Raw genomic sequence first — 17290 nt, forward strand, 5'->3', positions numbered from 1 at the left:
TTGCTTCTTAATAGGGAAATTTCACCATGACCTGGCTATTAGAGGACTAGAAGGCATTGGTTTTACTTATTTTGGGTGGCATGAATGCATTGTAGTTATGTGAAAAGATGGGATATATTCTGACATATCTAGGGGTAAAATGACATGATGTCTGGGTTTGTTCTAAAATACGTTAGCAAAGGGCCGGGTGTGGTGGCTCATGCCTGTAATCCCAGCACTTTGGGAGGCCAAAGCAAGCAGATCACTTTAGGTCAAGAGTTCAAGACCAGCCTGGTCAACATGGTGAAAGCCCATCTCTACAAAAATACAAAAATTAGCGGGCATGATGGCAGTTGCCTGTAATCCCAGCTATTCGGCTGAGGCAGGAGAATCGCTTGAACCTGGGAGGCGGAGGTTGTAGTGAGCTGAGATTGAGTCACTGCAGTCCAGCGTGGGCAACAGAGCGAGACCTTATCTCAAAAAAAAAAAAAAAAAAAGTTAGCAAAGGAAAAATATGAACAGGTGAATAAATTTGGCAAAATCTTATTAGCAACTGGGGAATATACATTTATGGTACTATTCTCTCAACTTTTTATTTATGTTTGAAAATTTTCCTAATACATTTTTTTAATTGTTCTTACAGATGCAGATTTTCTTTTACAATCCAGATGACTTTGACAGCTTTCAAACCGCAATTTCTGAGAACAGAATAATCGGAGCCATGGCCATATTTTTTCAAGTAAGTTAACAGTGGCTGAAGTACTTCAAAGAATTCTTTGAGTATTTTTTTTAATTTGCCGAATTGTTCCATGTTTAATGAATGCATCTGTTTTCTAGTTCACACCTGTCCAAATGAAAGATATTTCATATTGTCTAATGTGTGATTTAAAATGTAAATAAGTATGTTTAGAAACATAATGAAAATTTTTGCATGAATTACTCTGATTTTATTGCTACTTGACTGGTGCACAGATTGAAGAACACATTTATCATCTAAGTTACTTCGCCGCTGAAGCATTTTGAACAGGTTCCTTCAGCATATTAAGAGACTGATATAAAAAAAAAGGTGTTTTTTTGAGCAACTTTAAAATTTGACATTACTTGCAAGTAAGTTAATAAATAGCATCCGTCACTTTTCTAAAGAGACCCCCTCTCTTTCCCTCTCAGAAATCCCCATAGTAACTAAAGTTTTTGTTGCAACTATCTCTGTGTTGGTACATTTATGAACTCTTATCCTTCTGTCCTCTCTTTTAATATGATTGTGTTGATGAATGCTCATAACTCAGTGTTGATTCTGCACCTAGAATCCCAGCATTGCATCCTGTGATAAAATAATGCTGTTCAGGCTTTTTAATAAGTCAAATCAAAGTAGTGTTGATCAGTGAGTGCCTTGACCAACTTGCCTGTAGGAGACCTTGGTGCTTTTTAGTGTGTAAGGTAGTCTGAGTAGTAGGCATCTGTGGTTTGTCTTTCAATCTTAAAGTTGACCTAGCGACTACATAAAGGTGTTCATTTCACCAATGAGTCTCTGTTGGAAAATGAAGTCTTTTTGACAACTAAAGGAAAGTTAAAGACATAAGAGCCTTCTCCAACACGTCTTTGACATCTGCCTTTTTGAGCAAGTTTGTCATTGAGGTGGAGCCATTCTTGTTTGGAGTATGTTAATTTCACCACCCTTTTCAATGGGTGACACATGAGTGACAGTTTTCTCCCTTTTAACTACATTTCTCCCTTTTCTCAAGGGAGATAAAGGCTCAAATGAGAGATCAGATGAAAATTTGAAAAGCTTGATATTCTACCTAGAATAAGAACAATGGTTGCCATTGGTGATTATGGCACTGGTTTTCAAACAGTGGGTTCTATCTTACTGTTGAGCCATGAAATTATTTCAGTAAGTTCTGATCAGCATTTTAAAAACAGTGACGTAAAATAATATAGAATAGGAAATAAGTCAGAAAATATCCGTAAAATATAGTAAAGGTAAATGTATTTATAGAATTTGTTTATGCACAGTAAAGCATACTGGGTGTATGCTGGGTCATGATATAATGTGTATTGCTTACTGTGGGTCGTGGTCAAGTATTTTGGAAGTTGTCTGTTTATGCTATGTATTGGTCTAATTTGCCCATTGTTCTCCAACACATCTCTTTTTCCTCATTACTTTTCATGAACACAATAGAGCATAGTGTTTTAAGAGCTTATTCACTGGAGTCAAGATACTTGCTTTTGAATTCCATGATTTCTGCAGTGTAATGGTAATGTAGTTATTTAAACTTTTCAATCTCAGTATCCTTATCTGTGAAGTAGAGAGAACAGCTAATACATCATGTAGATTGCAGTGGTAATTAAAGGACTTCCTAGTATGGCTCCTGGAACATAGCGGACACTTGGAAATTCCCAAATAGTATGCATCTATAGCCCTCCATGTTTCTGTGGGATGGAGACCCCATGGTATACATATTATCTTTTTATGAACAGAAGTATGTTCTGGACACTGCCCTGTTGGCAGATGACTTGAGTTCTGTCTGGACCCCTTCGGTTCATTTTTTTTTTTTTTTTTTTTGAGATGGAGTTTCGCTCTTGTTATGCCCAGGCTGGAGTGCAGTGGCACTATCTCAGCTCACCACAACCTCCGCCTCCCGGGTTCAGGTGATTCTTCTGCCTCAGCCTCCTGAGTAGCTGGGAATTACAGGCATGTGCTACTATGCCCAGCTAATTTTTTTTTTTTGTATTTTTAGTAGAGGCAGGGTTTCTCCATGTTGGTCAGGCTGGTGTTAAACTCTCAACCTCACGTGATCCGCCTGCCTCGGCCTCCCAAAGTGCTGGGATTACAGGTGTGAGCCACTGCGCCCAGCCCCCTTCTGTTCTTAAACTGTGATTGGTTTGTGTTTGGTAGAACTGGGACCACACAAACTGCTCTTAAAACAGTTCCCACATGCCTGGCTAACACCTGGTTTTCTGTCATCGTTCCCTTAGCATGCTGCTTTTCATGCAGCTGGACCTCTGCTCCTGTGGCCCTGCCGTCAGATGCACCCTCGCTTCCTTCTCTGTCATGCCAACCTGTGCTCAGACCTCCAAGATTCTACTTCATAGGGAACCTTTCTTAAAAGAAAATTTAAAAAAAACTTTTTAATGTTTTTATGAGTACTGGAAGGACTAGTTTATGGCATGCTCTACCCAAACACTTTCTATTTTTTTCAGCTCTATAAACTCTTGTTAAATATAAGACCAATTAGAATTTTAGGCAGGCAAGACACATTGGTGTGCAAATCAACAAAATACCTCACTGTGAAATCTAGGTTTTGAATTTTTAAAGTATTTCGAGGACACCGCTACTAGTTTGCATATAAAGATATTTAATGTACACTTCATTTGTTAGGTCCTTTTCTAAATTTGGCTTGCTATCCTAAAGACACAAATTAGAGGTCAGATGATAAAAAATAGAACATAATTAGAGGCCGGGCGCGGTGGCTCACACCTGTAATCCCAGCACTTTGGAAGGCCGAGGCGGGCGGATCACTAGTTCAGGAGATCGAGACCATCCTGGCTAACACGGTGAAACCCCATCTCTACTAAAAATACAAAAAATTAGCCGGGCGTGGTGGCGGGCACCTGTAGTCCCAGCTACTCGGGAGGCTGAGGCAGGAGAATGGCGTGAACGTGGGAGGCAGAGCTTGCAGTGAGCCGAGATCGCGCCATTGCACACCAGCCTGGGCGACAGAGTGAGACTCCGTCTCAAAACAAACAAACAAACAAACAAACAAACAAACAAACAAAAACATAATTTTACATAGATAGCAGCTGTATTAAGCTGCTTCCTTTGTCCTTCTTATTTATTTATTTAGATACAAATCTCCCTGTTGCCCAGGCGGAAGTGTAGTGGTGCAATTATGGCTCACTACAGCCTCCAACTCCTGGGTTCAAGGGGATCCTCCTGCAACAGCCTCCTGAGTAGCCGGGACTACAGGTGCAGGCCACCATGTCCGGCTAATTTTCTTATTTTTTTGTAGAGACAAGGTCTTGCTTTGTGGCCCAGCCTAGTCTGGAACTCCTGGGCTCAAGTGATGCTCCTGCCTCAGCCTTCTAAAGTGCTGGGATTATAGGCGTCAGCCACTGCGCCCGGCCCCTTTGTCTTTCTTGTAAGCACACACGTGCTTATATGCTTGAATTCTCACTATGTCATGCAATGCAAATAAAAAAAATTGTTACTTCAATTTGGCATTCTAGTTAGATCTCATTTTTTAATTTTTTTGCTCTCTATAAGAATGATAAATTTGAGAGTTTGATATTTCTTCCCAAAATAGAGAAATCTTGGTGTATATTTCCAAATTCAAACCTGGCATCTTACATTTTAGTATTGAAGAACGGTTTGTCATCTATTCAACATCTATTCGATGCCAGGAGTGGTACTAGTTTCTGTGTTAAGCATAATAAACACAATCTTCTCCTGTGCACTAGAACCTCACTGTCATGGTCCCACAAATAACGGCCAAAAAGAGTTGAACTCCTCTACTTGTAAAAAGGCTATACTCTGACTTGGTGCTTATAAACCCACATATTCATTATTCAGAGTGACACAAAGAGAATGACCCAAAAGCCCAGGCCTAGGCAAGGCCAAGTTCTGCAGAGATACCAGTAGTCCAGATGCTGATTTACTTCATGTACTAGAATAATTTTTTTTTACCATTTCAATTTTTCACTATCCATGCTTCTTTTTTTGTTCTCAACATGTGCCCATTATTCCTGGTAATTTTGGCTTTCTGTCTGCCTTTGCTGTGCTTAGATATGAAGTTCATAATGTTGCCCCCCAAAAGCACCAAAATAGGCACAAACCTAGCAGACATCTGGTTGTCCAATGAACCCTTACATTGGCCTAGAGTAGTGGTTACTTGCACTTTGCCCCATTGTGGCTCACAGGCATGATTTGTTGAATTTACACAGTGTTTATGATTCTTTTCTTCAGTTAAATATGGAAGGTTTTACACAAAATGTCTTGATGATGTAGCAGTAATCGAGATGTGTCTAGTGGCTACTTTGGAGGGAGTGTGTGTTCCCATTGCAACAAAATCATCAAGCAGTCTTATTCATGTGTTCACATCAACGTGATCTTAAGATCATGATGACTGGCCCGGACCCCAGTAACTCTGAATGGCAGCTGATATATTTTGGTAACGGATAAGAGTTGAGGGTCAGTCTCAGTGCTAAAAGGTGAAGAGCCAGGTCTGCTGTTGAGCACAAGTGAAGGAAGGAAGAACAACCTCCATGTGTGGAAGACGGTGAATCAGGGCAGCCACATCTTGGCCCAGACAGCTCTAGAAGGTGCGCTCCCTTCGTAGCCACTGGTTAAGTGTAATATTATAATTTTCCATCACATGGTAGTAATGTGTCTGGAGGAAGGATCACCTTTTTCTAGATCATGCAGATCACCTTTGGGTTTGTTCCCTATCGAAAGCATAGGGGAACAAGTAAGAGTAAAGTTTGCTTTTAAAGGATTTAAAACATAAATTTAAAATAAAAATATTGTCAAGGGATAGAGGAATTTGTTGTTAAAACACTCAAGAGAATAAATACTTGTTTAGTTGATTTATGTAAGTACAGAAACTAAAATAATTATTTTTTATTTGTTAAAGTAAAACTTCTGTTCTCTACTGTCAACCTAATTTGAATGCCTGTGAAAATATAAAATATCAGAAGTTATTATTTGGTTGGTGCAATAGTAATCGCGGTTTTTGCCATTACTTTTTTTTTTTTCTTCCTTTTTGTGGAGAACGGGGTCTCACTATGTTGCTCAGGCAGGTCTTGAACTCCTGGGCTCAAGCTGTGCTCCTGCCTCTGCCTCCCTAAGAGCTGGGATTACAGGCATGAGCCACCGTGCCCGGCTTTGCCATTACTTTTAAAGGCAAAAACCGCAATTACTTTTGCAGCAACCTAAAATGCTGTTTCAAAATATTGTGTGATTCTGATAACACCCTTCATGGTTTATCTGGTGAAACAAATAAATATAAAAACCCAGGTTTACATGAAATAGAATCAGTGGAATAATTAGGCAATTTGTGGAAGGATACTTTGCTTTTAAAAACTGTAATTCACAGAACAATTTCATTGGTTTCTTTTTAAGTTGGTAGAAGAAAGAGTACCCAATACTTACAATGACCTTATCTTTAAGTAGTCCTGTTCTTTTGAGGCCAAGAATCTTTTATCGTCACCCTCAGAATTGGGTTCTGGTGTTTCTCCCTTGGCTTCCGTCTGTTTCTTCACCATTAAATGCTTTCATCTACTTTCTCACTAGGACCAAAGTGTCTTTTAACCATGCAACCTTCTTAATGGATTTCAGTCAGATGCACATAGAAGTTTGGTATTCCTGTTCTTTATCTTTGGTTAATTGTGTTTTTTCATGAAGTATATTGTTATTGAATTTATTATCTTAAGGGGAACATCTCATTCATTTCATTACCCAGTTGCCATTGTCATATGAATGCTTGAAATTTCATTTATATTTCATTAATTCCATTGAACTTTGGAATCATAAATGCATGATTCTTCAAGAGCATCTACATTAAGAAACGTTTCTTATGTGACATTGTTTCCAGCCTCCTTTATGGCTGTGGTCAGTTCTGAATCTTTGCATCAGAAACAAAGATATAAAATGATTGTCATGTCTGTATCCAGAGATCTAGTCAATAGGTATATTTCTGAATACATTTAAGAAGTAATTGAATTGCATCTGATTTATTCATCATTCTTAAACTATTTCTTTTTGACAAACTGTCGTCACCAACTCTACTGCAGTTTCCTCATTTAATGTTCTCCTTCTACTGGGAGAGTTGAGCTGCCTTCCTTTGTACCAGTTTTCATTTTTATTTAAATTCTACCCAGAATATGACTGTAGTCCTTTGGTTTTTCCCTCAGGTCTGTAGAGTCATTTGCCCCCTTTTCATTTCTGCCCTTCTTTCATAGTTGAAAGGAAACTTCAGAACTCAAATGCTTTGCAAGTTGCGAACCCATTCTTTATATCATGTCGGTGTTACAGACTGCTTAATTATTTTTCTCCATCTGGAGAGGCTTAGTAATTAAATGAATTGCAGCACCTGGGATTATTTATAGACATTGAGAAGGCAGGAGGAGTTCTTGATGACTCATCCATCCAGGGCTGGCGAGGAAGCCTTTCTCTCCACTTCCCTGCATTTCACCTTCCCCCTCCTTCCCCACCATAGGTAGATATGATCTGTCCTTCCTTTGACCCACTCTGACTTATAGCATTCCATCTTGTATTAAAGCTGTTATTTTACTTGCTTTCTTCTGCATTAATACTGTGAGATCATTGAGGCTTGAGAGTCTTCATTCATCATTATGTCTCTTACACACGGCTAAAACTGTGGCTTGATTGTGTAAATACTTAGCTGAATTTCATGGAAACACATTTAGGCTCCATTGTCTAGATTGGAAAGGGACAGCCTAATAGCTTATTAGCTACAAATTATAAAAAATAGGCATTAGGGGGTAGAGCCTGAGACTACTAGAGTATAAACTCTCTGAAGTTGAAGTCTGTGTCTTGTTCCTCTTCTTTTTGTATACCACCAACCCACCTTTCCCTAGCCCTCACAGTAGTGCATTGACCTCAATTATTGCTCAGGAAATATATACTAAGTAAAACTGAGTTAAAGGAAACCTCTGTGTTTTATCACATTATTAATTATTTGGGTTTTTGAAAAGCATATATCTAGATGGCTGTGTAAGCGTCACCCAAAAAGGTTGCTGTTTGTGTCAGAAGTGTAAGATTCTTGAGCTGGTCAAGGACATTGAACATGAAGACTGTGTAACGATTCATTGAGGTTGGTACCTCTCTTTCCTGGGGCTCCATTGGATCAAACATGTTAAAGGGATGCATCTCCATTCTATAGTGCGTTCAGAGGCCTTAAAGGACTGTTTTACTGTAAAGAGTATCTGGGTGTATCTTTATAAGGTTTCCCAATAAAATGCGTTTATCTCACTAGGTGATGAGTGAAGAGGGTTTTTTGGATCATTTTGCTAATTTTCTTTCCCATTGTCTCTGCCTCTTTCTTGCATTTTTCTTTACTAGGGTTCCTCTATGATAGTTGATGAGTTAGCTTCTGTGTGTTTTAGTTCATCTGTTAACTTTTTCTTGCTCTTGCTATTCTTTACATGTCTATGTTTTTCTGCCTCTTTCCCCCCTTTCTCCTTCAGATTTTCTAAGCAAACAATGTAAGATTTTCTTGCTTATGTATTCATTCTTGCATTCATTTGCTAACTCATTTGTTCACTCTGCATATTTCTTAAGCACCTTCTCTGTGCCATGCTCCATGGAAATCATGAGGTATCCTCAGAATTGTGTCCTGCCCTCAAAGTAGTTGAGGGACAGTAAGTTTTCAGAAGGGCCTTAAAATTCTTTCTTCAAAAGTAGCTTCATTTTATCTTTGGGAGCTAGGGGAGGACAGATCAAGTCAGGCAGATAAAATCTCAAGAGAATAATGCAAGAATTATATCTTATGTATATTTTTAAAATGATAAATATTTCAGTTTGAGAGTATGAAGTTTCGACTTGTAAATTTTAGAATTGGACTCTTCTTTCTCCATTTTTCTTCTGTTCTGGTATAAAGCAGAACACCACTATTAAAGTATAATTCATTCCTTTTATTTATGGTGACCTAAATTAATCTTTTTATTCTTTTTAACTATCCCAAAAGAGTCTTTTTCTTTTTTTGATGAAGAATAAATTTTCTATCGTGTTATGGTTTTAATTTTTTTTTTTCTTTTCATGGTTCTGATGGCAGTGTGAAACAAGGGCCTTTAACTCTGGAGAGAGAGAGAGAAGGGATAAATTAGTAATTTTACCCATCTACCAAATTCCCACCCTAACCCCAGACCCCCAGAAAAAAACAAGAACTATTTTTGAGTCTGAGAAAATTGAGTTTGTGTTGGAGAATGGTGGTAGATTATTTAGAACTTCCTTCTTAGACTGCTTTACAAGATAATGACGGTAAACTAATATGATTCCTAATTTATTCCTTTCCAGTTGCTGCTGTTTGAATATCGTCCTTCTGGCATTTTCCACATCCTTGGTTTTATCCAGATATAAGTTCAATTCTTTCACTACATTACCTAGAAGTGCAATTTCAGAATGTTTTGGGTTGATTAAGAAGACTTTTTTTTAATCCACAAACAAAAATTAAAATACATATGTTCCAATTAAACTATTTTAACAGCTAATTGATTTCATAGGACTTACCATTAAGTGAAGGCCAGAGTCATTCTTAATGTTCAATTGCAGTTTTGGAATAGATTTGTGGATGTACAACATTGAATTTATAGCCTATCAGGTGTTTTCAGCACATCTTCTTCTGCAAATGGCCTGTAATTCAAATTTCCTCTTAGTGGACATTACAGAGGACTATTTAATTATTGGCGAAGCATTACATAATTAAGAGACTTTGAATTCTTTGAATGTGACCATGTGAAAATCTATTTAAATTAAATCATTGCACTTCAAGGACGTTACCAAGTACTTTGCTTTTGTACATCATTGAATGATAGTTTAAAATTGTTTTGGCCATTAGTTTTCATGTAAGTCACAGAATGTGATTTTCGTAAACTCAGAGAAGATCTTAGGCACTCTGTAGTAACCTTACTATGACAGATGACAGGCCTGACCCTCTGAAAGGTTAAGTGATTGACCGTGGTCCCCTAGCTCTTTGCAGTCTGCCAAGCCAAGAATTTGAGTTGTGTGACTCTCAATCCAGCGACTTTGTTTTTTCCTAGATTTGGTCTTCCTGGAATATGACCTAGTAGGATGCTTTAGCTGATTAGATTTATCGGGAGAACTCCTGACATAAAGCACTTTATATTCACAACCGTTCTTACCTCTCTTTCCTCCCCCAGATAAATTAGTTGCAAGATGTTTCTAAATAGAATACAAACACCACTAATAAAAGTTAACATTTGCTGAGGACTTAACTGATGTAAAATGCTAATGACAACTACTATACAGTGTCTCACTTAATCTTCACTGGGACCCCTCAAGGTATTATTACCTCCATTTTATAGATGTGGAAGCTGAGACATGGAGCTTTTTTCAGTATAAATTACTCAAAATTACACAGGCCACTAAGTGTTGGAGCCAGCATTTCAATGGCAACCATATATCTCCAGGGTCTGTGCTCTCAGTGAAGAACTGAATGGGAAAAGTTGGGTTTTCTGTTGAAGAGGGTAGAGGGAGAAGTATATATTATTGGTCCCAGTTATTGTCATCTGCATATAATTGCCTTCAGGCCTCTCAGTTTTGCTGATAGCTGAAGAGGTATTTTCTTGTAACTTAAAATTATGTTCTTCTTTTTGTCCATAGTTACAATCTTCGATCCTAAATTATCTTAGGCTGTGTGTCTGTAATTATTTTATAGATTTGATGACATCTTTTTTCTTTAGTTTCCTCCCTTTTATAAAAAGGCTATAAAGAGTATAGAATAAATGCTGTGGTTATGTAAGCATAGTGTGAGTGAATGGGGTAAAGATTTGAACTTTGAATTGAATGTATTAACCTTTTAATGGCAGCAGTTCTGAAGTGGGGAGGGAGGGAATGGGGGTTTTGCCCCACAGGCAATGTGGCCATGTCTGGAAACACTTTAGGTGTGTCAGGGTAGAGGCACTGCTGGCATCTCACGGAGAGTGCCCAGGAACGCTGCTGAACATCCTGCAGTGCACAGGAGAGTCCTCCACAACCAACAGTTAGCAGCCCAAAATGTCTGTGCTGGCTGAGGTCAAGAAACTCAGCTTTATGGTCATCAACTAGCTAAGTGACTGAAGATATCAGAATATCTTCATCTCGGTAGAGGGGGGTCAGTTAGGGCTATTTGGGTTATTTTCTGCAGGCCGAAGGCCATAAGAATAACTAATAATCCCAGTCCTAAGAACTCCAGTAGTCCCTGGCTAACCAAGACTTGAACAACTGGGATTCCAACATAAGGTGCAAAACTTGCATGCCAAAATATTTAAATCTGCCCTATTCCTACATATCCTAGGTTTACCTCCGCCCTGTTAAATTAAAGCACCCACATGGGTATTTGTTTGCAGACACTGCAGTGATTTTTGAAACAAGCACCAATTTAATAGAACATTGACTTAGATGTAGAAAAGTAAACAGAGGTAAGAAGGTAAGAGCATGTACAAATGCTTTTGAACTTGAAATCAGCGAGAGCTAGTTTAAAAAACTCATAGGAAGATCAATGAAACTCCCTTGCAGAGGTTGTAGGAGAACCTGCTTCTGTAAATTACAGCACTACACAGTTTCCTTAGCATTATAGAAGGATTTTCCCAGGACAGGATTTTAAAATGATAAACGCTGGCTTATTTTAGAGGGTTACTGTTGTCTCTTGCGAAATCTTTTTACTATCTGGCCATCTAGGCATTGAGGGCCAGGATTATTAACCATCTTTAACTGTATGCATACAGATGCTACTCACCTGTGCCCATTTGAGAAGAACTTTACAATTCTCTTTTGATTTTGTTGTTCAGGGTTTACACTGAAGCTACTGTTTTCTCTATCTACAGCATCTTAACATTTATGATATGTCTCAACCCATCTGAAGCCCAGAACTTTTGTTCTTTGTCTTTTCTGGATAATGCCTGCCTGTCTCTTGAGTATCCCTGTGACCCACATTCCCAAAGCAGATATCATGTACATCACATAGATTATATTTTAAGACAGACCAGTCTGCACAGATCTTTCTGATTTTATGGAAATACATCCAACCATTTTTACATGATGTGATGGCAAACTTGGAAGAAACTTAATTTTATTTGTCCGTGTGAGACTTTTTATGATTTTCCCCATGTTCCTCTTTTTCTGTTAACATCTTGATCTTGGTAACACTGTTTTGCTGATTGTGATATTTTTCAAGAATGCAACTCCTGTGGTTTGTAAAGGATTAGGAAACGGTCTATTGCAAGAACGTCCATGATAGAAATATTTTATCCTTCCTGCCTTTTAACTTGCCATAGGTCAGAATCTCAATGTGATATAGTAAAAGACACAGTAGTTGGTGCTCATATCATCTCTTTATTATGATTGTACAGGTGTCTTCTGAGAAAATTTTTAGCATCAAATCCCCGTTTGGGGTCTGTTGGGAGCTATGAGCATAGCTGTGCATTCACTCACCTCAACAAGCTGGTACAGCAAATTCTATTTTTCTTGGCTCATTGTGTTCTCTGAGTATGTATTAAGTTGTATGATTTTTTTGTGAGTGTGCAAATTCCTAGGTAGCTGTATAAAAATGATAGAAGAGAGCTAACTAATTTAGGTCTTGCGTATTTAGAATTTGGATTTGTCCAAAGTTGATGTAAGCCAAGAATTACTTATGCATTTTTAAGAAGGCATTTTATTAGACACATCAGGACTGTAAATAAAATTGCAATGGGAGGAGTTGCTACCTCCATGTATCAACTGGCCATTGTCAACCCATTTTATGTGGGTATATTCATTTAATATAGCCCTTTGGTTATAACAGAGGACTCTTATGTGTTCACACAAATGGATTTGGTGAGAGATACTTCTAAAATTACACTGTCAGTAATTTGTTTGCACCACATATAATAAAATGTTCTGCATATGAAACAATACTCAATTCTGACTCTTGGATAATTCACTTCCAGGGACTTCTCCATCCATATTACTGAGGTCTTACTCAACACTGTGCAGCGTATTCCCTGGTAGCTTGGCATCCCTGAACACCATTCTAATGAGGTTTCAGTGAATTATTTCTATTTTTAGGCACTCTTCAAAGGTGGCTGCCAGACACTAGTTCTAGTTTTTTTTTAAACTGAACCGATTATAGGGTTTAGTGCCAGATGCTTCAGAAATGCAAGCAGCTAGCTAACACAAAGCCAATACCTAAGTCTTTTAGGAAAAGAGATGAATGTTTAGGGTCATATCTGAACTTAGTAGCACAGCTACTCCCCCGCTGCCCTTTTTAATGGCTGTCAGACCAAAGTTTTGTGGTTTCTCTCTATTTTGAATTTTGTAAGTGAAAAATGTCCTCATCCGACTAAAACAGATCAGACAGGTAAAATCCCAAGTCTTCTGAAAAGAGACTTTCAGTGTCTGACTCTCTTTGAATATTAACAATAGTAAAAATAACAGTAGGTGATATTTACGGACTCTGCTCATGTGTCAGCGCCTCTGATAATTCTGCCAAGCATTCTATGTGCGTTATCCCATTTCATGCTCATAACAGCCCTCTGAGAAGGAGATTCTGATTCTAGAACCTTCCCCAGATGCTAAGAGTCCCTTTGATTCTGAAATCCATGTCTGAGGTGTTGGAGTGAGGCGTCTATGTATAAATTCCAACTTGCCACTTACTGGCTTGTTCCTTTGGACAAATCTATTCAATCCCATGCCACTTCAATCCCTTTGTCCATAAAATGGAAATACCAATTTGCTGCGAACTTCAAATGAGATAATGTCTGTGAAAGTACTGTGGAGAGGTCTTTGACCCAAAAAACATTTTGATGATAAAAATAGTTAAAATAACAATGTTGATGATGATAATTAGCAACGACTAGGGTTAAAAAATGCCAAAATAAAAGGAAATACTTTGAACCATTACTTCCCCATACCATGAAGTCTGTCCCAGGACATATATCGCTTCAGTATGTCAAATATACACATCCTCCTGGCCTACTTGCATGTTGTTGGAGGGTGCTTCAGATCTGATTGCAGTTGGCTGTGAGACAAAGTCTTAACTAGTTGTTATTGGTGCTATAACTCAGTAATTCAGGAGGAGGTAACCAAATTCAAATTTCCTCAAGGAGCATCTGCATGTCTTTCTTACTACTTTAAAGAGGAGCTAAAGTAATTAGTCTTAACACCTTGGATGATAAAAGAAATAGATTTAATTGGAGCAGCCAAGTCGGCTGAGAGAGAGACAAGTAACACATTGATATGGACCCAGATGCCTCCAGATGGTGGTGAGGCCATTAGAACGTAAAAGGGCCCTATAAGATTTTCCCCTGGACCCCAAGGAACTGCTTAATTCCTAGTAGTGAGTTCCTCTCCAGGGTCAAAGTCATAAAACGGGGATCCTTTATGTGGCCCTATGTATGCTGGAAATGTATCCTTTCCTGTGAGCTTCCTTATTAGTGTCTACTTGGTTAGAGACAATGCCAGCAGTGGGATGTGATCGTTGGAGATTTTAGAATACTAGGGCATGGGAATTATTACCTGTTCTGGCAATTTATTTCATTAGTCCCAGTGTTTGCCGTGGAGGGGAGGTGGGAGTTGAGTGGGAGATGTTATTCTCTTCTATATGGGGCAGTCTTGACTCTTGAGTTCCCCATGGTCTAAAGGGACGAGATACCCCCATACAGCATCCCACCTACCTTCTCTCTTGTGTCCCTTCTCTTGCCTTCTTTGTTCATTTCCTTTGCAATGTTGTGGAATCACTATAGTGTCCCATATATGGTGGTTCAGCTGCTGTTCACAGAACTGAATTAAACGTGGTCCCTATCATTAGGGAGGTTACCCCTTATACATGGACACACACACACACACACACACACACACACACACACACACACACACACACACACACACACACACACAATCTGTAAACTCCTTAAGACAAGGACCGGCCGGGTCCAGCTGCACATGCCTATAATCCCAGCACTTTGGGAGGCCGAGGCAGGTGGATCGCCTGAGGTCATGAGTTCATGACCAGCCCGGCCAACATGGTTAAACCCCATCTCTACTAAAAATACAAAATTTAGCTGGCCGTGGTGGTGGGCGCCTGTAATCCCTGCTGCTCGGGAGGCCGAGGCAGGAGAATCGCTTGAACCCAGGAGGCAGAGGTTTCAGTGAGCTGAGATTGTGCCACTGCACTCCAACCTGGGCAACAGAGCAAGAGTCCATCTGAAAAAAAAAAAAAAAAAAAAGAAAAAGACAAGGACCTTTGCTTGTTTGGGGTTAATATCCTCAATGCCTATCACAGAGAGATAATGAATGAAGACATTCCTTGTGAGTCAGCTTGGTGAAGAAAATGGACTCTAAATCCAGATTGCTCAATTAAATCTCAGTTCTGCCCATTAGTAGGAGTAAAATTCAGTCAAGTACACTTAACCTTTCTGTGCCTCAGTTTCCTCATTTGGAAAATAGGACCAGTAATAAGAGACCTACCTTGGAGGGTCATTTTGAGGTTTGTATTAGTTAATACGGGTAAAATCAACAGGTGACTGGTATGTAGTAAGTCCTCAGTAAATACTAGCTCTCATTATAATTTAAACAATAGCATGTGCCTGTCATATGTGTAGTGATAAACATAAGTTACCATGTACAACAGTTGTGCAGTGGGAAGGGTCGTTAACCTGCATGTGTGAGAGAGGAAAGGCATTCTCACCTAACAGGTTTGTGATGTGTTACTATTTTCTGTTTCTTCCTCTCCAAACTCAGTGGGCCGAGAAAGTGTAAAACAACTTTCCTCAATCATGGCTCCACACTGGAATCACTGAGCAAGCTTTAAATAATACCGATGCTCAGGTTCCACCCCTGGGATTTAGATGTAATTGGTCCAGGAGATGGCCTGAACATCGGTATTTTTAATAGCTGCTTGCGTGATTCTAAATAGTGCACACAGGTTGAGAACTAGCAGAGCTTATCAGAGATCCCTTGAGGTCCCTTAATTGCCCTCCATCCCGGCTCCTATCAGGCTAGCTTGCTGCTTAGGCGGTTGATGATTCATTTAGGCCATACTCTGGGGACTCTAGTTTTCTTAAAGAGCATGTTCTCAACTCCTGAGGTTCATGATCCTCCCGCCCTCTGCTTCCCAGAGTCACACCAGTCCAACTTGAATTCTCTTCTCATTTTATAGTGAACGGCAGGAAGCCAAGTGATCAGACGTGCCATTGTCTGTTGGTTTCCCCACCTTGGTTTATTATAAAAAGTAGTAGTAATCTCACAGGTGGAGGGGAGCGTGGTCATTTGTCCCACCTCATTGGCACCAAAAGAAACCCAGGTATGAGATTTGCTCATAAGGTGGATTGGAGGATATGACTGGCACCAGAGGACGGTATACGTTTTCATGCTTCCTCCCTTGGAGATGAGCATGTGGAACAAGGCCTGCCTGGCCTATCAACTCAGGTACAAGGGATTAGGAGCAGGTGCATGGTTGGCCCATGGACCTGCATATACTGGAGGCTGGAAGTAAGATCATCCCCTCGGGCTGTTGCCTGGGAAGATAGCTCCAGAGGAAAGGGCTGAGCTTGCTTTTCCTTTTAGTGAACCTGCATTAAGATGGACCTATCCTTACCTTGGGGAGAGGTAGCTGGGGGTAGAGAGGGAAGAAAGACAGCTTTTTTTCCAAGCACTTTGGAATAAATTAGTTTTGCTACAAATTACTACATCTGGTGAGAGAGGAAGGGCAAGTTCTTACCTTCTCTCTTCCTTTTCCTCCTGCTTCTCCTATTACCAGTAATATTAAGGAAGAAAACTTTGTTTCTGTGTGCCAGTTCATATCCATTATCTGCTTTGATGCCTCAAACCTGTAAAGTAGGGACTTCTATCCCCAACTGACAAATGAAACCAAGGAACAGAGATATTCAATGATTTGCCCAGGGCCACTCAACTAGAAAACGGTAGGATTTGAAGCCATGTCTTTCTTACTCTGGAGGCTCTTTCCCTCTTCTGAACTTCAATATTAGGCTGCCTCCTACCCTCCTGGAAACTCCCTACCCCCTTTTTCTTCCAAAGAGTGTGGATCTAGGGTAGGGTCAGCCACTCCAGTATATGTCTGGTCATCATCCCTTGGTGGGGTGCCCTTGTGACAATACTTAGGACCTAAGACAATTAGGACTTTGAGGAAAAGTCTTTTTTTCAGTGGAGATCTTGTACTTTGGAACCACTTCTTCTGCAGGTCGCTCTCTCCTGAAATCTGGATGGTGCTATGGTCGTGAGAGCTTCGTGTTTTCCACTAGTCCACCTCCAGACATTCCGTTGAATACCTATGGAATCTCACTTCAAGCTCATACAAATTGGTTGTTGACGGTTATTGCCATGCAGCTCCCCTGGTCCCATTGCTTCAGTAAAAGATTTTGGATATTCTGTGCCAGGATGTACCAGGCTCTGGCAGCACCTGCTGAGTTGCTCAGTACCCAGAGCCAGTTCTCTTCTAGTCCAACGTCCCCACTGAGGCTATCCAGGGCCTATGCTGAGAATTTGTTTCTGCAGTGGACCAGAAAAGATGCTTGTCTTATGAGACTGGGGAGAGTAGGGAGGCTGATGGACCCCTCAGCTGCTGCTGAAACTTTTTAG

The 17290-nt window shown here is 39.7% G+C and overlaps 1 protein-coding gene across 7 annotated transcripts in view; it reads left to right on the plus strand.

The window, feature by feature from the left end:
- The window catches only part of PTPRG (protein tyrosine phosphatase receptor type G), a 736039-nt gene that overhangs the window by 515970 nt on the left and 202779 nt on the right, over positions 1-17290 (plus strand). For all 7 annotated transcript variants that reach the window (XM_017006961.2, XM_017006963.2, NM_002841.4 and 4 more), the window contains one exon: positions 623-718. In XM_017006961.2, coding sequence (XP_016862450.1) covers positions 623-718 — 96 coding nt within the window. The remainder of the gene's footprint in view (positions 1-622; positions 719-17290) is intronic.

This window comes from Homo sapiens, chromosome 3 (genome assembly GCF_000001405.40).
Source record: "Homo sapiens chromosome 3, GRCh38.p14 Primary Assembly".
Classification (NCBI taxonomy): Eukaryota; Metazoa; Chordata; class Mammalia; order Primates; family Hominidae; genus Homo; species Homo sapiens.